Genomic DNA, 21,572 nt, shown 5'->3' on the forward strand with positions numbered 1-21,572 from the left:
GCTTGGTGATCAAAAGAGTGCCTGCCCCTCAAGGACTCCCAACTCAGTGGGGTTGGTATTGACATAGCAGATACACAAAATGTATTCTAGATTGGTACCAAAACTATGGTGAGTAGATGGCTGTGACTGGGGGACTTCTCAATTGATTGCTCAGTCCATTAGAGGTGGCCTTTTTGTGCCTATTGGCTGTTATCGGCTGCCTTGAGTATATTGTCTATATTTGATCCTCAGTATTTTTGTGTGTGACTTGAGCTTTGAGAATTAAATTAAAATGATATATATTTTACTATTTAATCCTACAAAAGTTATTCAACTATCAATAAATATGTCAAGTGCTGAAAAGAAAAAATATCAACAATATCGGAATAAATAATGACTGTCTAGTTATTTTCTCAGCTGGGCCTAGTGGCTCATGCCTGTAATCTCAACACTTTGGGAGGCCAAAGCACAAGGATTGCTTGAGGCCAGGAATTCAAGACCAGCATACGCAACATAGCGAGACCCCCAACTCTACAAAAAATAGAAAAATTGGCCAGGTGTGGTGGTTCAAGCCTGTATTCCTAGCTGCTTGGGAGGCTGAGGCAAGAAGATCACTTGAGCCCAGGAGTTTGAGGCTGTAGTGAGCTATGATTATACCACTACACTCGAGCTACTCTGCCTCTTAAAAAAAAAAAAGTTATTTTTTCATATGAAGCAAAAGTTAAACATTCATGTTTAGAAAATCAGTTATTTTCAACTGTTGCTTTTGCTAGAAAAGTACCAGTTTTGAATTTTTTTTTTTTTTTTTTTTTTTAGATGGAGTCTTTCCCTGTCACCCAGGCTGGAGTGCAGTGGCATGATCTCGGCTCACTGCAACCTCCCCCTCTGAGGTTCAAATGATTCTCCTGCCTCAGCCTCCCGAGTAGCTGGGACTACAGGTGCACGCCACCACACCCAGCTAGTTTTTGTATTTTTAGTAGAGATGGAGTTTCACCATGTTGGGCAGGATGGTCTCACCCTCTGACCTCGTGATCCACCTGCCTGATTTTTTTCTTTCTTTTTCTTTTTTTTTTTTTTTTTTGGGACAGAGTCTTGCTCTGTTGCCAGGCTAGAGTACAGTGGTGAGATCTTGGCTCACGGCAACCTCCAACTCCCAGGTTCAAGAGATTCTCCTGCCTCAGCCTCCCGAGTAGCTGGTACTACAGGTGCGTGCCACCACGCCCAGCTAATTTTTTGTATTTTAGTAGAGATGGGGTTTCACCACGTTGGCCAGGATGGTCTCAATCTCCTGACTTCATGATCCGCCCACCTCAGCCTCCCAAAGTGCTGGGATTACAGGTGTGAGCCACCACACCTGGCCAGCCTTGAGTGATTTTTAAGAAACTAACTACAGGCAGGGCATGGTGGCTCACGCCTGTAATCCCAGCACTTTGGGAGGCCCAGGCAGGTGGATCACCTGAGGCCAGGAGTTCGAGACCAGCCTGACCAACATGGAGAAACCCCATCTCTACTCAAAATATAAAATTAGCTGGGCGTGGTGGTGCATGCTTGTAATCCCAGCTACTCAGGAGGCTGAGGCAGGAGAATCATTTGGACCTGGGAGATGGAGGTTGCAGTGAGCTGAGAGTGGGTAATTGCACTCCAGCCTGGGCAACAAGAGTGAAACTCCATCTCAGAAACAAACAAAAAAAAAGAAACTAACAAACTGAATACATTGTTATTATTATTTACCTATATAAATTGCCAATTTACATATAAAATTTGATGCATTATAATTATGGGAAAATAAATTCTATTAAAAGTTACTCAGCAAAGATAGTTATTAAGATAAATTAAATGATAATAAATTTTATTTTTAATTTAACTAAAATTTTAATTTAAAATTTTATTTCCTCCTTCCTAACCCTGCATCAGATAAAAATAATAAACTTTATACTTACTCTTCTTATGTATGAAGTATAGACATAACATACAGTACATAAACAGATATATACTAGATCTGTGGTATTAAGAAATTTTAAAGGGGGGATGATTAGGTAAAACATGTTTTTATTTATTTTATTTTCATTTAAAAAATTTTTTTTGTCAATATTCAATATAAATATTTTTTAAATTATTGAGATAGGGTCTCACTATGTTCCCCAGGCTGGTCTCCAACTCCTGGGCTTAAGCGAGAGTCCTGCCTCAGCCTCCTAAAGTGCTGGGATTACAGGCACGAGCCACTGCACCTGGCCAACACATTTTTCAAAGCTCCTTAGGGAAATGACATTTTTTTTAAAGTTGAGAAACTCTGAATTAAAACTACCTAGGCATCTTGACAGGAAAGTACTTTGCTGTTGGTTTGCCGCAATGAATCCCAGCCAAAATCTGAAACTAAGAATGGATTTATTCACACTCTTCTTGTCGTCATATCCCATTTCTTGCTATTTTTCCTCCCCCAACTTGTTGTATGTCTTCTGGTAATTGACTCATTATTTTCCTCTTGGGAGCCACCATCCCACTCCTTAGCTCCAGTGATGGTAGGTGACCCAGGTATGGCCAGGAGGAGACACAACCTTTGAGCCAGGCCAATCTGAGTAATTCCTGGGACTTTGCTGGAACTGGGAAGAGGAGATCATTTTCGGTAGGGCTACATTTGTCAGGTTGTGAGCCTGGAAAAACTGGAGGCTCTCTTTGCCATAACCTAGCAAAAGGCTACCAGAAAATAAAACCACCGCAGCAGAAGCAGAGCCAGAGAATCAAAGGTGAGAGACAGTATTCTAGGGTATCACTGAGAACCTAGGTTTAGTCAAGCCTAAAGCTATTTAAACCCCTGGCATTCCTGGTATCCTTTGTGGCCTAAGCTAACTGGAGTTGTGTCTCTCTCATTAGCAATCAGAAGGGTTTTCACTTAATTCTAGCACTTTGGGAGGCTAAGGCAGGCAGATCACTTGAGGTCAGGAGTTCGAGACCAGCCTGGTCAACATGGCAAAACCCTGTCTATACTAAAAATACAAAACATAGCTGGGTGTGATGGCAGACACCTTTAATTCCAGCTACTCAGGAGGTTGAGGCAAGAGACTCTCTTGAACCCAGGAGGCAGAGGTTGCAGTGAGCCGAGATCATGCCACTGCACTCCAGCCTGGGGCGACAGAGTAAGACTCTGTCTTAACAAAAAAAAAAAAAAAAAAAAAAAAGGAGAAGGGTTTCACTTAATAAACCTCCTCTGCCCAGTACCCTCATTCCACAACTGTCAGAGCCAAGGAGCAAGAAGCAAGGAGCTCTGGAGAAGCTGAGGAGCTCAGTTCATTTAAATCTTCTCTTACCTAGGGCCCCTGACTTATCACATGCTCCTTCTCAAATTCTCCTCTTAAGAAAAGTATTACAATTCTTGCTGGGTACTGACTTGAACCTGACATACTAATCCTGTACCAGTATTTTTGATGCCACTTTCAATTTCTTGGTTAAATTGTGAATTACTGTTTATTTGAAGGGGTCTGTTTTATTTCCTTTTTGCTGACACATCCACAATGTTTGCCATACATTAAAATATATAAATTAAAATGTGGCATTCTATCATTATCAGGTCACTTACCATTAAGGGTGTATCATTAAAGTATTACAACCTGAAGGGCAACCAACATGAATCTATATTTATGAAACTCAATTCCAACCTCCATGAAAAATATCTATTGCTAATTTATGTCAAATAAGTAGAAGGTGAAACTGACTTAGATATTTTTGTTGCAAAACATGTCTTCTACAAATATTTTTCTAGTTGAACTGTATTATATTAGCCAATACTAATTGAAATGTGTTTGTAAGGTTTTAATTAGCAACCAAAGCTGTTAAGTATTCCTTATGAGCATATCACATTTCATAGTCCAGTACTCAATAATCTGAAACTAAGTGAATTATTGATTTTTCGCTTCTCAAGTACTTTCTCCTTAAAAAAAAGTGGGGGGGGGTTGGTGGAATTCATAAGACAAAGATGCAAGCAACAAAAGATAGTTTCTTTAATTCTCACAATCAGTTAACTGTGTCTGTATCTTATGGACACAAATTATTGAACAGCATACCAACTAATGGGCAGCAAAGTCACAGCCTGAAATGTATCTTTGTTTGTTTGTCTGTTTTAAAGACAGGGTGTTGCTCTGTCACCCAAACTGGAGTGCAGTGGTATGAATGTGGCTCACAGCAGCCTCAAACTCCTGGGCTCAAATGATCCTCCTGAGTAGCTAGGACTACAGGGGCATGCCACCACACCTGGCTAATTTAAACATTTTTTAATAGATACTGCTATGTTGCCCAGTCTGGCCTCGAATTCCTGGCCTCAAGTGAACCTCCCATCTTGGCCTCCCAAAGTGCTGGAATTACAGACATGAGCCACCTTGCCTGGCCAGCAACGTATCATTTCGTCAGCCTCAGTGACTGACAGTCAAAATTGGGATCATTAAGGGTATTTGAATTCACCAGGAAGATTTAGGTTGAGATACACTATATTTGAGGACATCCAAATGGTTGGAGTCCAGAGACATCTGAATATACAGGCCTGGGAATAAGGGGCTATAGTTTGTGATACAAATTCAAAATGCAAAAGTCAGCAGAGACTCAATGAATGGAGGCTCCGGAAATGGCTGAGCTCTCTGGAGGATGGTGGGAGAGCAGGCATGCAAGTGCAGAGGGTCCTGTAGAGCAGTGATCTCCAGACTTTTTGGCACCAAGGATTGGTTTCGTGGAAGACAATTTTTCCACGGACGGGTGGAGGTGAGAGGATGGTTTTGGGATGAAACTGTTCCACCTCAGATCATCAGACATTCGATTCTCAGAAGGATCATGCAACCTGGATCCCCCGCAAAGCCAGCTCACAATAGGGTTCTCGCTCCTATGAGAATCTAATGCTGCTGATCTGAGAGGAGGCAGAGTTCAGGCGGTAATGCTCGCTCCCCTCCTGTGTGGCCCGGTTCCTAGTACAGAGTCTAAGGACAAGAAGAGGAGCGCCTAAAAAGGTAGTTGAAAAAATAAGCCAGTCCAGCATCAAACCAAAAGACAAAAATAAAATAAAATAAAATAAAATAAAATAAAGCCTACATTGTTAAATGCCAGCATTTTCACAGCTATTGAGAAGGTGAAAAAGAAGTCTTATAATAGAGATTTTGCTAAATAGGCAACAGGGCAAACCTTATTAGGTTTTATGTTATATGTTAAGTCATCTAATGGGTAGGGCTTTATTTTGATCCTCATTGATAGAAGACAGATGTCTGGCATCTATCTACTTGGTTCTACAACCAAGAATGGCCACTCTTTCAGAGAAGCTGACAGTCATGCCCCGCCCAGTCTTTATGGTGAAACAGTGACTTGCCACCAGTCGTGTGTCCAGATTTTGGGGGCAGTGAAGAGAGTAGGAAGTATTCCACCCAAATTACATGGAAAATGAGAGTATTTTGTTCTGTTTTGATTTTTTATATACATATTTTAAGAACTATTACCATAATGTCAACAATATATGTTATCTTTCAAATTTTTTTCTGTCTTTTTTTTTTTTTTTTTTGAGACAGAGTCTCGCCTTGTCACCCGGGCTGGAGTGCAGTGGTGCGATCTCAGCTCCCTGCAACCTCCACCTCCCAGGCTCAAGTGATTCTCCCTCCTCAGCTCCCCACGTAGCTGGGACTACATATACATGCCACCATACCCAGCTAAATTTTGTATGTTTTGCAGAGATGGGGTTTTACCATGTTGCCCAGGCTAGTTTCGAACTCCCTGAGCTGAAGCTATTGGCCCACCTTGGCCCCCAAAGTGCTGGGATTACAGGTATGTGCCACCATGCCTGGCCTATATTTCAAATCTCTCATAAAAGTTTAGCATGGAATATTACCTGTGAAATTAATAACAGTCTATGGAGCTGTCATGCTTTATATTACTAAACTGGCTATGTTCTTCATACCTAAGCTGCAGTTATCAGCTAATAGGGCTGAATGCTCTTAAAGGGATCTACTTCCCCACTTCAGAAGTCTCCACTGATTTAATTAATAGACCAAGTCCATCAGGAAGAATAACTCTGAATTGTCTGTAGACAGACCTATTTGAGAATTTCCTCTACTTTACCCCACCCCACAGACACTTCTACACTCCATTCAGGCATTATCATTTGTGGCTCTTTCCAAGCTTAACCCTCTCTTGTTTGACACTCTTCAGGTCTCCCCCATTTGCTTTAGTATTCTTCCATGGTCCTTCACAACTGCTCCTTTGTCTTGGTAGCCTCAGCTCTTGCCACTTCTCAAGATGCAGGCAAGGCTTTGAACATTCATTCCTTTATCTACCATCTTCACAATTTTTGGCATACACAAGTACCAGTGAACTGTTTACTTAGTATCTTTTAATAGATCAATTTTGACTACTTGAATAAATGATTTTTAAAAGGAAACTTTTTATCACTACCAAAAATAGCAAATCAGTTTCAATTGCCTAAAGTGGAGATAGGTGTTATTTAACTCTACCTAGATAATGCTGCCAGTTGAAGCTTTGAGTTTAAGCCTAAAAGGAGATTAGCAAATGTTACATAGGTGTACTTGCTAGAAAAAAATGACTTTTCCTTACAAAAGAAGGTTTGAAAAAGAATTGGAAAGAGTGTTATTCTATCACTATGTAATTACTTATCTGGCTGAATATAAGCCAGATAGGACCTAGAACCACCACATAAAATCTGAATATTAATTGTCCCATGCTTTGGAAAACACCACTCTATCCTTCTCAGATTACTTTGTGGTTTCAAGCTTTCTTATTCTGTGCCTCAAATGTTCTGCTTTCGTTCTCACCCAGCTGATTCCTTCAGTGTTTCAGGACCCAGAAGAATCTTCCCTGATGTGTGCTTTCAGGGGAAGTGTGCTGTCCCTTGTATTAGTCAGGGTTCTCCAGAGATACAGAACCAATAGGAGATCTATCTATCTATCTATGTGTGCACACACACACACACATAAACATATATATACACACATACATCATACAAACACACATATTCATAACAAAATGAGAAAATATTCATGACAATTACAGTGCTCATTTCTGTAATTGGTCACGTGGTCAAAGTTAGTATTTCTAATGACTATCTTCTTCTACTACACACTGTATATCCTTTGTCTTCATAAGCACCTCAGCTGGCTATGGTTCTTTACCTGGTGGAGTGACCCAAACCTTCATTCCTGAAGGGTCTGAGCCAGTCATAGTCCTGCCTGGATTGGGTTGTGGTAGGTTTCCATTGACTTAATCACAGGACACAGTAGCAATACTAGAAGACTCCCTGAGGGATCTCCTGTATTCCAGGGAGACTCTTCCTTACCTCCATTGTGGAATACAGTCCAGTTTCCCCTTGGTAGTCAGGATCAATCACCCCAGCCAGCACTGTGACTCCCTTCTTTACTTGTTGACTCAGAAGCATGAGGAACCCAAAGTGTCCAGGTGGCTGTCTTTACTTCTAGTTCAGTGGAATCGTTGTTTCTCTTGGTGGAAACATTCCTCCCTCTGGAACTAAGACCTCTAGACCAGGAGAGCATAAAGTCACAGGAACAAGAAGCAAAAATGTTGCTAGTGGATTATCGGGCTTAATACTGAGTAATGCCACTCCCATTTCTACACCATGATTCCTGGACCTATGAATCCTAGCTAGAGGAGAAACACCACCAGCTATTAGATGCTGGTTCAGAGCATATACAGCCTTCCAGAGAACCTTGCCCAAGCCCTGCAAGGTATCACCACCTAGCTAGTGCTGTAACTCAATCTTCCAAAGGTCATTCTACAATTCTATCAAACCAGCTGCTTCAGACTGGTGAGAAACACGGTAAAAACAGTGAATTCCACAAGCATGGGCCTATTGCCACACTTCTTTTGCTGTGAGGGGGGTTCCTTGTTTAGAAGCAATGCTGTGTGAGGCCAGGCACAGTGGCTCAATCTTGTAATTCCAGCACTTTGGGGGGCTGAGGTGGGAAGATCACTTAAGACCAGGAGTTCGAGTCCAGCCTGAACAACATAGGGAGACCCCTTCTCTACAGATAATTTAACAAATTAGTCAGGTGTGGTGGTGTTCACCTACAGTCCCAGCTACTTTGGACACTGAGGTGGGAGGATCACTTCAGCCCTGGAGGTGGAGGCTGCATGAACCAAGATCACACCATTGCATGCAGGAAAGGCAAATCCATATCCAGAGTGTCTATTCCTGTAAGAACAAAATGCTGCCACTTCCATGATGGAAGTGATCCAGTGTAATCAACCTGCCACCAGATAGCTGGCTGATCACTCCAGGAAATGGTGCCATATTGAGGATTCAGTATTGGTCTCTGCTGCTGGCACAGTGGGCATTCAGCAGTGGCCATAGCTAGGATGCCCTTGGTGAGTGGAAGTTTATGTTGCTGAGCCTATGCATAACCTCCATCCCTGCCATTACGGTCACCTTGTTCATGAGCCCACTGGGCAATGACAAGGTGGCTGGGAAAGAGGCGGACTGGGATCCACAGACTGGGTCATCTTATGCACTTGATTATTAAAACCCTACTCTGCTGAGGTCACACTTTGTTGAGAATTCACATGAGACATAAAAATCTTCCATTTTTTTTGTGCTAATTCAGAGAGATCTATCTATATACTTCTTTCCCAAATTTTCTTGTCCTTCAATTTTCTAATCACGTTCCTTCCAAGTCCCTGATCACCCAGCCAAACCACTGGCCGTGGTCCATGAATTGGTATATATCACATATCTGGCCATGTATCTTTCCAAGCAAAGTGAACAACCAGGTACACTTCTCAAAGTTCTGCCCACTGGGAGGATTTTTCTTCATCACTGTCCTTCAGAGAAGTTCTGGAAAGGGGCTGTAGTGCTGCAGCTGTCCACTTTAAGGTGGTGCCTGCATATCGTGCAGAACCATCTGTAAACCAGGCCCAAGTCTTCTCTTTGTCTGTGAACTGTCAACTTGTGGGAAACTCCCCATTAAGCCATAGATGCAGGCTGGGAGAGATAAAATGATATAATAGAAGTGGGGGCCATGGTCATTTGGGCCACTTCATGTAGCTTACTTGTGCTTTGAAGGCCTACTCAAACATGATCATGTATACGCCACTTCTATTTGATGATGGGCTCTTGCTCTCCATACCCGACTTTATGGCCTGATGGGTCAGATTACACCCAGCTTATGATAAGCAGCTCAGGTTGCATGGTAACCTGGTGGCCCATGGTTTAGCATTCAGTCTCTAGTAAGGCCCAGTAGCAGATCAAGAGATATTTCTTAAAAGGAGAGTAGTTATCTGCAGAAGATGACAGGGCTTTGCTTCAAAATCCAAAGGGTTTGTGTAGTGACTCATCTGTAGGGGCCTGCCAAAGGCTCCAAACAGCATCTCTCTCTGCAGACACTTCAAGCACAATTGGATCTGCTGTATTACATGGCTCAAGTGGCAGAGCAGCTAGCACAGCAGCCTGGACCTGTTGCAGAGCCTTCTCTCGTCTGCACATCACTCAAAAATAGCAGCTTTTCAGCTCACTCAGTAAACGTGCCAAGTAGCACACACAAATGAAGAATATGTTGCCTCCAAAATTCAAAGAGGCCCACTAGGCATTGTGTCTCTTTCTTGGTTGTAGGAGGGGGCTAGATGCAACAACTTTTCCTTCACCTTAGAAGGGATGTCTCGACATGCTCCACACCACTGGACCCCTAGAAATTTTACAGACGTAGGAGGCACCTGAAGTTTTGTCAAATTTATTTCCCACCCTCTGGCATCCAAATATCTTACCCATAAGTCTAGGGAGTAGCTGCTACTTCTTCCTCACTAAGTCCAATCAGCATAATGTCATCAATGCAATGGACCACTGTTATAGCTTGTGGAAAAAAAAGGTGAGCAAGATCCCTGTGAACTAAATTATGACATAGTGTTGGAGAGCTGATAGACTCCTGAGAAGGACAGTGGCAGTGTATTGCTGGCCTTGCCAGCTGAAATCAAAATGCTTCTGATGGTCTTTACTAACAGGTATGGAGAAAAAATATGCACCAGATTGATAGCTGCATACCAGGTACCAGAGATTGAGTTAATTTGCTCAAACAACGAAACCATATCTGGTAAAGCAGCTGCAATTGGAGTCATCACCCGGTTAAACTTTCAGTAATCCACTGTCATTCTCCAAGATCCGTCTGTCTTCTGCACAGACCAAATAGGTGAGTTGAATAGGGATGTAGTGGAAATCACACCCCCACATCCTTTTAAGTCCTTGCTGGTGGCACTAACCTCTGCAATCATTCCAGGAATGCAGTGTTGCTTTTGGTTTGCTATTGTCCTAGGGAGAGGCAATTCTAGTGGCTTCCATCTGCCATTTCTCACCATAATAGCCCCCGTTCTATAGGTCAGGGAACCAATATGGGGATTCTGCCAGCTGTTGAATATATCTATTCTTATTACACATTTGGAAACTGGGGAAATGATCACAGGAGGGTTTAACAATCCACTGTGAGATGAACCTGAGTTAAAACTCCATTGAGCCAGGCGTCGTGGCTCACGCCTTTAACCCCAGCACTTTGGGAGGCTGAGGCGAGCAGATCACCTGAGGTCAGGAGTTCGAGGCCAGCCTGACCAACATGGTGAAACCCTGTCTCTACTAAAAATACAAAATTAGCTGGGCATGGTGGCGCATGCCTGTAATCCCAGCTACTTGGGAGGCTGAGGCAGAAGAATTGCTTGAACCTGGAGGCGGAGGTTGCAGTGAGCTGAGATTGTGCCATTGCACTCCCACCTGGGCAATAAGAGTGAAACTCCAACTCAAAAAAAAAAATTAGCCAGGCGTGGTGGCAGGTGTCTGTAATCCCAGTTACTTGGGAGGCCGTGGCATGAGAATTGCTTGAACCCAGGAGGCAGAGGTTGCAGTGAGCCAAGATTGCATCACTGCACTCCAGCCTGGAGGATAGAGTGAGACTCTGCCTCCAGAAAAAAACAAAAACAAAACAAAAAAAACCCTCCATTGATTACCTGACCTCCATAAGCCAGAGGTCCCCAACTCCCAGGCCACAAACTAGTACCACTCCGTGGTCTGTCAGGAACCAGGCCACACAGCAGGAGGTGAGTAGCAGGTGAGTGAGCAAAGCTTCCCATGTATTTATAGCCACTCCCCATCACTCACATTACCACCTGAGCTGCACCTCCTGTCAGATCAGTGGCAGCATTAGATTCTCATAGGAGCACAAACACTATGGCCAACTGTGTATGCAAGGGATCTAGGTTGTGTGCTCCTTATGAGAATCTAATGCATAGTGGTCTATCACTGTCTCCCATCACCCATAGATGAGACCATCTAGTTGCAAGAAAACAAGTTCAGGGCTTCCACTGATTCTACATTCTGGTGAGTTGTATAATTATTGTATTATATACTACAATGTAATAATAATAGATGTGCACAATAAATGTAATGTACTTGAATCATCCCCAAACCATCCCCTGTCTCCCAGTCTGTGGAAAAATTGACTTCCACGACATCAGTCCCTGGTACCACAAAGGCTGGGGACTGCTGCCATAAGCCCTTACTCTGACCAGTGGACCATCATGATGTTTTGGGTCACCTAAAGTTAGTTTCAGTTTAGAGCCAGTGTCTGAAAATTCTGATTATTTCCTTTGCTTTAGTGCACAGTTACCCTGGTAAACAGCTGTAGGTAAACAGCTGTAGGTCCCTTTGGTGAATATTGGGGAAAAGATTAACATATAAATTTTTCATAATATACTGGGGTCTTTCCTCAAGGGGATCCCACCTCCTCTTCATTCAGAAGGTTTTGGGTGAGTAAACTAGCTCAAGTCTGGGAATTGATTACGGAACTGTGACTCTTTTTTTTTCTTATGATTCAGATTAGACTTCTGTTCACTTAACCTAAAACTTTTCTGTTTATACAGATCAAGTAAGAATTTAGTTGAAATAGTTCCTATTTCACGTCTAGGAACACCATGATCAACTAGTGAACACTGTAGATCTATGAACTAGGTCATTCTGATGGCTGCTTTGACTCTGCTTTTCATTATGGTAACCATGGCCACCTTGCCATTGGTGGTCGAGTGTTGCAACTTGGGCCCTACAACCTGGGATCCAATTATGCCCATCGTATTTAGGTTTTTAAATTCAGTGACTGTGGTTCTCACTGTAAGGTCTGGCCTACACAGAAAAGCAATCGTGAAGCTTTTCAAGGATGCTGGGGCTTCTCTCACCAACTAATTTCTCACTGAATTGGAGTATGTCTTCTGGACCCTCCCTGTGTGGGTGACGTCTTAAATGAGTAATCCACTTGAACATTTCAGTCTCCCTAAGCCTTTGCATTCCTTCCTCTACATTAAATCAACACACATCCAATATGTCCAATTCACTCACTGTTGTTCAACTTTCACCCATGTTTCTTTTATTTATTTATCTTTTATATTTATAATTTTTTTTTTTATTGAAACAGTCTTGCTCTGCTATCCAGGCTGGAGTACAATGGTGTGATCATGGCTCACTGCTCAGCCTCCTGGGCTCAGGTGATCTTCCTGCCTCAGCCTCCTGAGTTGTTGGGACTATGGGTGTGCACCACTATATGGCTAATTCTTTCTTTTCTTTTCTTTCTTTCTTTCTCTCTCTTTCTCGTTTCTTTCTCTCTCTCCCTCTCTTTCTTTCTTTCTTCCTTTCTTTCTTTTCTTTCTTTCTTTCTCCTTCCTTCCTTCTCTCTTTCTTTTTCTCCTCTCTTTCTCTCCTTCTCTCTTCTCTCTTTCTTTCTTGTAGAGACAGAGTTTCACTGTGTTGCCCTAGCTGATCTCAAACTCTGGGGCTCAAGCCCAGAGCCTCCCAGTGTTCTGGAAATACAGGCATGAACCTGGTCCTTGTATTGTTTTCTGTTTGTTTGTTTGTTTGTTTTGAGACAGGGTCTCCCTCTGTTGACCAGGATAGAGTGCAGTGGTGTGATCATGGCTCACTGCAACCTAAATCTCCTGGGCTCAAGCACCCCTCCTGCTTTGGCCTTACAAGTAGCTGGGACTACAAGTATGTAAACCAAAAATAAAATTCTAAGGCCCACCCCCAATCATCTGAATGGGCCCCAAACAAGTTGCCGGAACTCAGAGCTAAGGTACCAGCAGGGGCCCATTGAAAGCTTCCCCAGCTGTGAGCTTCTCCAGTGGAACTGATAAGTCCTGAGGCATGGATCTCCCTTTGGTTGACAATCCTTGATTTATTCTGAGCTGGTTTGTTTGTTTGTTTGTTTAGTCCTAGGAAGTTGTTGTTTCGGATCCTAAGACAGAGGTGCATTCTAAAGAGTCTTCTCCATTGCCTTTTTCCAAAGACAAGGAAAATGACTCCCTTTTGGGCACTCCATTTAGTTTCTAGTTTGGAAGTGCATTCTAAAGGGTCTTCTTCATTGCTTTTTTCCCCAAGATTAAGTTCAATTGGCATGTCTGCATATTTTTGTGAGGAGCTGAACTGCATTTTCCTAGATAAAAGAGAAACTGAGCTTCCTCAGCTTGGAAGAGAAAAGGTATTTTGCTCCTCTCAGCAAAAAGGCGCCCCTGGGTGACCGGGAGCTGAGTGAGAGTGTTTGGGGGCTTGACTTCCCATGACTTGCAGCGGCCCCCCCAAAAAAATTAGTTTAAAAAGGCTCATCCAGAAAATGCATATAAGAGCTGATCACTTTGCACTTTAAGCCCTCTTGGAGATGCCAGACCTCTGGAGAGAGAAACTGAGACATGTAAGAGTGTGGAAATTACTCAGTGGTAAAACACTGAGGAGTCCCTCCTGCAGTCAGCACACTTTGATCCACTACACTAAACCCTAGGCCACAGCTCAGTTCCTCCTTTTAAGAAAGACAAAGAGGCCAGGTGCGGTGGCTCATGCCTGTAATCCTAGCACTTTGGGAGGCTGAGGCGGGCGGATTGCCTGAGCTCAGGAGTTCAAGACCAGCATGAGCAACACGGTGAAACCCTGTCTCTACTAAAATACAAAAAATTAGCTGGGCATGGTGGCATGCACCTGTAGTCCCAGCTACTCAGGAAGCTGAGGCCGGAGAATCACTTGAATCCGGGAGGCAGAGGTTGCAGTGAGCCGAGATTGCGCCACTGCACTCCAGCCTGGGCGACAGAGCGAAACTCCATCTCAAAAAAAGAAAAGAAAAGAAAAAGACCTGGAAAAAGAAGAGGATTTGCTATAGAGTGTAAATTGTCCCCACAAGACACAGCTTCACCATTTCAAAATATGTCAAAGAAATATATTTTGGGGTAAAATAATCTCTTTCAGGGCCCGCTATCTGTCGTGTGATGCTATGCTAGTGTCAGGTTGGAATTTGGTATCCTACTGTTACCAAGAATCGGTTTTGTCAGTCTTAAGATCTCTGTTTTAATGTTAATGCTGGTCAGTTGTGCCTGAATTCCAGAGAGAGTAAGGTAAAATAAGACATCTCCAATTCCTCCTTCCCATCATGGCCTGAACTAGTTTTTCAGGTTTACTTTGGAATCCTCTCCACTGAGAGGAGAGGTCCATTCGGCTGATTGGGGAGCTTAGAATTTAATTTTTGGTTTACAATTTTTAAGATTCTGTTCCTCTAGAACCACTCCTGATACCAAAATGCTTCTGCAGTACCTTGCCTGCTTATATCAAAGCACCTAACACTATATTGCATTTATCAATTATTTGTGTGTCTCCTCCATTAAACTAAGAACTTCTTTAGGGCAATGCATTAGATGCTTGGGCTTCCATAACAAAGTATCATAGCGTGGGTAGCTTAAGCAACCAATTTATTTCTCAGAGTACTGGAAGCTGGAATGTCCAAGATGCCAGTGAGTTTAGTTCCAGGCCGGGCGTGGTGGCTCACACCTTTAATCCCAGCACTTTGGGAGGTCAATGAGGGCAGATCGCTTGAGGCTAAGAGTAAGAGACCAGACTGGCCAATATGGTGAAGCCCCATCTCTACAAAAAATACAAAAATTATCCGGGCCTGGTGGTGCCTGCCTGTAGTCCCAGCTACTTGGGAGGCTGAGGCGGGAGAATCATTTGAACTTGGGAGGCAAAGGCTGCAGTGGGTCCAGATTGCACCACTGCACTCCAACCTGGGCAACAGAGCAAGACTGTGTCTCCGAAAAAAAAAAAAGAATTTAGTTCCCAGTGAGGTCTCTGTTCCTGACTTGTAGATGGCCATCTTCTTGCTGTGTCCTCATATGGCAGAGACGGCAAGCAAGGTCTGGTGTCTCCTCCTCTTCTTGTAAAAGCATCAGCCCTATCAGAGTAGGGTCCATCTTTATGACTTCATTTAACTGTTATCACATCCTCACAGGCACTACCTCCTAATACAGTCACATTGAGGGTTAGGGTTTCAACATATGAATTTCGGGAGGACACAAACATTCGGTTCATATCAGGCAGGGCTAGGTCTTTCACCTCTGAGCCCTCAGCACTGTGTGACAGCACCTAGTCACTCAGTATGTATTTATTGCTACACACATGCATTAAGTGAATACATAAGCACATAAATGAATCATTCTATCAGTAGAAACATACTAAGACAAAAGTTCTCAAGTACTGATATGTAATCAGAACTACCCAGGGAAACTTGATAAAAATACAGAGACTCAGACCCTGTCCCCATTCTGCTTCAATCAGCTTGGGATTCTGTACGATTTATTAACTGTCCTGGTGATTATGATACACACCAAAGTTTGACAACCTTTTTAGGTGAGAAAGCAGATTCAAAGAGGTTAACTATTTGTTCAGCTTGACTTAAGCAGAGGTAAAACTGAGATAGTTTAGCATAATTTGTGACGGTTTTCAGTTCAGTCTTTATAATATACATGAGGAGACTACTTATGATAGAAATATAAAGCTATGATTCTGTTTTAGTCAGTACAGTAAATACACAATCCCATTTACTCATTTGTTTGAATCAATAATTTGTTTTGAATCCTTCAATTTGTTAAAGGATGAAGTCTGAAAATTATCCATGATACTTAAAAGTCACAGATTATAGTTACAACTTAACATGGGTTTAATTCAGTCATGTGTTTAGAACTGTGCTCAAAACAGACCGCATTCTGCAAGAAAATAATGAGAATATAAATTTTGAATCATGTAAAACTATAGAGACTGAAAATTATTATTTTCTACCACCCGATTTACACTTTATAACAAAAAAATAATATTCTATAGGCACTATCCAAAGATTAGAGAGTAATTAGGAAAAACAGACGCTATAGCCCAGGTTTGACCTTGGTGCTACTTTAGATTCTTTTTTTTTTTCTTTTGAAACAGGGTCTCGCTTTGTCACCCAGGCTGGAGTGCAGTGGCATGATCTTGGCTCACTGCAACCTCCAGCTTCCAGGTTCAAGCAATTCTCCCACCTCAGCCTCCCGAGTAGTTGGGACTACAGGTATGTGCCACCACACCCAGATAATTTTTTCTATTTTTTGGTAGAGATGGTTTCACCATGTTGCCTAGGCTGGTCTCGAACTCCTGAGCTCAAGCAACCCACTGGCCTCGGCCTCCCAAAGTGCTAGAATTACAGGCATGAGCCATTGGGCCAGGCCCCATTTACCACTTCTAATGCTGTAACAGATTCAATAAAATTCTCTAAGATGTAATGATCTACTTTATGATACTGATTTATATCATCTTTGTGCAGAGAGGCTTCAACCTCTTGTTTGTGCTGGGCTAGGGCCAGAATCCAATTCAAAACTTTATTGGTCTTTTACAGTCTTTCTCTAATCCATGTGAGATATAAAAAAAAAACCTTAACACCTACCTTTCATCATTTCAAAAAAAAAATTTAGAGATGAATTGTAGAGCTAATTGTGAAAACTAAAACTGTAAGAAACAAAGGAGAATATATTCATGGGTGGATAAAGATTTCTTAAAAAGGAGGAAAAAGTACTAACCAGAAAATTACAAAATAATACATTGTATCTTTCTTTTAAACTGAAATTCTCCATTTTTATAAACATTAAAATATTTACTCATTTGCTTTATCCTATAATACACAGAAAATGTTTTTTACTTCACAGTACCAATATTACAACTAAGTATAAAACTATTAGTGTTCCAGGCTGGGCGTGGTGGCTCACGCCTGTAATCCCAGCACTTTGGAAGGCCAAGGCGGGTGGATCACAAGGTCAGGAGTTCAAGACCAGCCTGACCAACATGGTAAAACCCCATCTCTACTAAAAATACAAAAAGTAACCAGGCGTGGTGGCGCGCGCCTGTAATCCCAGGTACTCAGGAGGCTGAGGCAGGAGAATCCCTTGAACCTAGGAGGCAGAGGTTGCAGTGAGCCGGGATCGTGCCACTGCACTCCAGCCTGGGTGACACAGCGAGACTCTGTCTCAAAAAAAAAAAACAACTATTAGTGTTCTCCAGAGAAATAGTATATATATACTCTATCTATCTACCCATCTATCTACATACACATATATATAGAGAGAGAGACAGGGTGGGGAGTGGTGGAGAAGGAGAGTATAAGAAATTGGCTTACACACATTTTGAGCCTATGAAATCCCAAGCTCTGCAAGCTGGAGGCCCAGGAGAGCTGGTGACATAGTTCTAATCTGAGCTCAAAGGCCTGAGAACCAAGAGAGTCAATGGTGTAAGTTTCAGCTTGACTCCAAGTCCAAAGACAGGAGAAGAATGATGACCCAGCTTGAAGACCATTAGGCAGAGAGAGCAAATTTTTTCTTGCTCAGCCTTTTGTTCTATTTAGGCCTTCAATGAACTGGATGAGTCTTGCACACATTGGGAAGGGCCATCTGTTTTACTCAGTCTTACTGATTCAAATGTTAATCTCATCCAGACACAACCTCACAAACACATCCAGAGTAGTGTTTGACCAAATTTCTCAGCACCCAGAGCCCAGTCAAATTGACACATAAAATTAATTATCACAATTACTGTGAGGTTTATTTCCGGTTCTTTTTTTTCTTTAACTATATTCCATTAAGGCTGGGAGCAGTGGCTCACACCAGTAATCCCAGCACTTTGGGTGACCGAAGTGGGAAGATCACTTAAGTCCAGGAGCTGAAGGCCAGCCTGGGCAACATAAGAAGACACCATCTCTAAAAATAAATAAATCCCATTAAGATTGAAGAATGTGCATATTGCATTCAAAAGTCATCTGAAGACATTATTTCTGTGTCAACTTGATATACAGTTATGTTCCTGTGTTTTCAATTTTAGGGTTTGCTTTTTTCTTTTCACTTTGATTTTATTTTTTAATAAAGAAAATGTTCAAAAGTCAAAAGTAACTGAAAAGGTATACTCTGAGAACTCTTGTTTCTTTCTCTATACAGGTAGCCCTGTAAGTAACCTATAAGTAAAAAAAATTTGTTTATTGTTTCTTCCGTTGTTTACTTTTTCCCCCAAATCAGTCTCTCCTACTTATCTTTTCTCTAACACAAAAGGTAGCAAATTGCATATGCTGTCTTCATTGCATAGTACTCTAATCCTTTAAACAATATACACAATTTGAATTTTTTCAATTATTTCACTTTGATTATACATAGAAGTTATAGGTGCACTGAGAGGTAATGGCAAGGGAACAGGATAGACAGCCTATAGCACTAGCTGTTACCATTTGCATTAGTCAACTATTGCAACAATAATGGTGCATAATAAAGTACCTCAAACTCAGTATCTTACAATAATAAGCATTTATTTTCATGCTCATGGGTCTATAAATCAATTGTATGGGCTTGGCCACGTGGCCTTACGGCTGAAGATAGGGTTTAGGATTGCTCCACATGTTGGTTCTGGGGTCCATACTCAAGGGTCTATGGCTACCTGAGGCATCTTCCTTTCATGATGATCACCAAAGAAGGGGCATAAGAAACCATAAAAGCACATTTAAGTTCTCTGCTTATCTCACATTTGCTAATATTCCACTGATAAAAGCAAGTCACTTGGCTGAACCCAAAAGCAATGGGCAGGGAAGTATCTTCTGCAAATGGTCAAAGGCAGACGAAATGGATATTTGCTGAACAAGAAATCTAAACTATCCCCCAATATTAGGGTGTGCACCCTCTCTCTCCTTTCCTTCTTTCTCATTTTTGCTCCCTGTCATCTTTGTGCCTGTGAATGTTTCTGTATTCTAGTGATTTTGATGGCTATTGCCTTGGTCAGGTTAGGGCTAAGGAAGTTGATTACAACTGAGGTTGAAGAGTGGTCAATTCAAATACTAACTTACATTAAGCACTGCCCCAGACTGAGATAACTTCATCACTCCTGAAATTTTTACTCTATTCTTACATTTGGAAAATAAAAATGGCCAAGGAAACGTTTTGTTTTTTTTTCTGTGTGTTCTGCACAGCTCAAATATGTAAGATGCCTAAGAACTAGAGAAAGAATGGTAGGAGATAAATTTTGAGGATAGTGGCTGACTATGTGTGGTTTTGTTGGTCAAAGTAAAGAGTGCATTTTATTCTAAATGCAATGGGCGGACGTTAAAATGCTTATGTAGGGAAAACTTGCTTTAAAAAAAACAAAAAACAAAAACTTGTGTGGAGCATGAGCTGCAGGAGGCAAAGTGGAAATGGGGAAGTAAGTTAGGAAGCTGTTGTAGTAGCCTAAGTGAGTGATGATGTTCGTCTGGATTAGGGTGGCAACAGTAAATATGGCTAAGTGGTCAAATTCAGAATCTACTTTGGAGGTAGGACCAATAAGATTTATTGATGATTTGATGTGGGAGGTTACAGGAGGAAAGAGCTGCTCTCAAGTGTTTTGACTTAATGGTAGATGGAAAACATTGTTCTGGCTTAAACATGGTATATTTGAGGTGTCAGTCATGTGCATAGAGATTCTGAGTGAGCAGCTGCGTGGGTTTTTACTGAGCATCAGGTGCAGAGTTGAGACAATCATATTCCTTAGTAGTCAGCAGCATCGTATAATGGTTATGAGCACAGAGGATGGAGCAGACTGCCAGGGTCTGTGTTTCAGCTTTGCCACTTACTAGCACTGTGGCCTTAGGTAAGTTACTTAACCTCTGCGTGCCTCAGTTTTCTGGTTCTGTAAAATGGGAGTAATAGTATCTACTTCATGTGATCAAATGAGTTAATATAAGTAAAGCACTAAGAACAGTGCCTAATGTGTATTAAAGGCCTTCTAAACATGACATATTATTAGCACATTGTCATTTTCAGTCCATGCAAAACACTCTCATTGATTTTTCTTCTCTGATCTTTACTCCCATTCTCCTTCTCCATAAATGTATGCACTGTAATGTTGAAATATGATCGTAAATATGCATATTTCTTTGCATTATATATCGTGTGCTTTTCCTTTTAAGAAATTTTGTTGTTCAGTACAGCAAATACAGAGAACCATATACACTCTACATGTAAGGAGACAGACCTTTCCTCCCCACCCTAGAAATCTACTATATGCCTCCTCCCAACTATAATCCATTTTCTGCAAGAATGACCACTATTCTTTTTTTATTTTTTATTATATTTATTTATTTTGTATTTTTAGTAGAGACAGGGTTTCACCATGTTGCCAGGCTGGTCTCAAACTCCTGACCTCAAGTGATCCACCCACCTCGGCTCCCAAAGTGCTGGGATTACAGGTGTGAGCTACACCCAGCATGGAATAACCACTATTCTTTTATAATTAATTCCCTTCCTCTTCAGTTTCATTACCTAAGCATGCACCCCTAGACACTATTGTTTTGCCTGCTTTCTTTTGGGTTTTTTGTTTGTTTGATATGTCTCTTAGATTTCTCTTAATACAAAGATCCCCTTACTCTTTTTTTTTTTTTTTTTCGTTCCCTTGGAGTTTATTTGTCCTCTCATTTCCTATAATCTGAATTTTGTCTTTTGTATATTCTGTAAATCGACAACTAGATCAACTCAGGGTCAAAAATTTATGTTTCTATTTAACAAGAGTATGATGGATTTAACACACCAGGAGAAGACATTTGCAATGACTAAAATAGGAAAGAGATTAAGAATAAAAACTATAACATCCGGGAATCCATCTATTAAAGAATGCACATGACCTTCAGAAGGTTTTTAAAACACTGCTAAAATACATAAAAGATTTGAAAAAATAGATGCACTATGTTTATGGAGGTGAAATTTTGGGTAGGTAAGGTAGATTGGTACTCAGATCAATTCCAATTTCTTTCAAGTTTGCCTCCTTGTACTATAAATTTGGAAAGTTAAAAACTATATTTCCCAGATTTCCTTGCAGTTACCATCCTAGAAGTGAATTATTTTTGCCAACTAAGTACATTTAAGTAAGGTTTAGAAAGTGGAAGTGAGGCTAAAGCCTTTTTCCTGCTGCTTTGTTTTTGCTGGCAAGCATGCTCATGAGATATATTTTTTGCAGCAGCTTTCCAGAGCTCAGTCATTAGCTTTGTGGGTATTGAGTAGTACTTACTACAGTTATCTTCTTGATTCCTGAATTGTAGCTACAGTGGTGCATTCTTAACATCAATAATTCCAGTTGTAGGGTCCTGATTCTCTATCCTCCTAATGGGTGAAAACAGTTGCAGCAGGTCCTATGACAGCCCAGTTCTGGAGTGCAGGTTGAGTATCTGTTATGTGAAATGCTGGGAACCAGAAATTTTTCAGACTTGGGATTTTTTTTTGGAATATTTGCATTATGT

The 21,572-nt window shown here is 41.5% G+C and overlaps 1 annotated feature.

Moving 5' to 3' along the window:
• Window positions 13,922–14,682: an enhancer, noted in NCBI's record as "OCT4-NANOG-H3K27ac hESC enhancer chr5:72783409-72784169 (GRCh37/hg19 assembly coordinates)". NCBI's record gives its function as "activates a minimal SCP1, AML or CMV promoter by ChIP-STARR-seq in primed H9 embryonic stem cells {active_cell/tissue: H9 hESC(primed)}" and the evidence as "EXISTENCE:reporter gene assay evidence [ECO:0000049][PMID:30033119]".

The sequence above is a fragment of the Homo sapiens genome, chromosome 5 (assembly GCF_000001405.40).
Source record: "Homo sapiens chromosome 5, GRCh38.p14 Primary Assembly".
Lineage (NCBI taxonomy): Eukaryota > Metazoa > Chordata > Mammalia > Primates > Hominidae > Homo > Homo sapiens.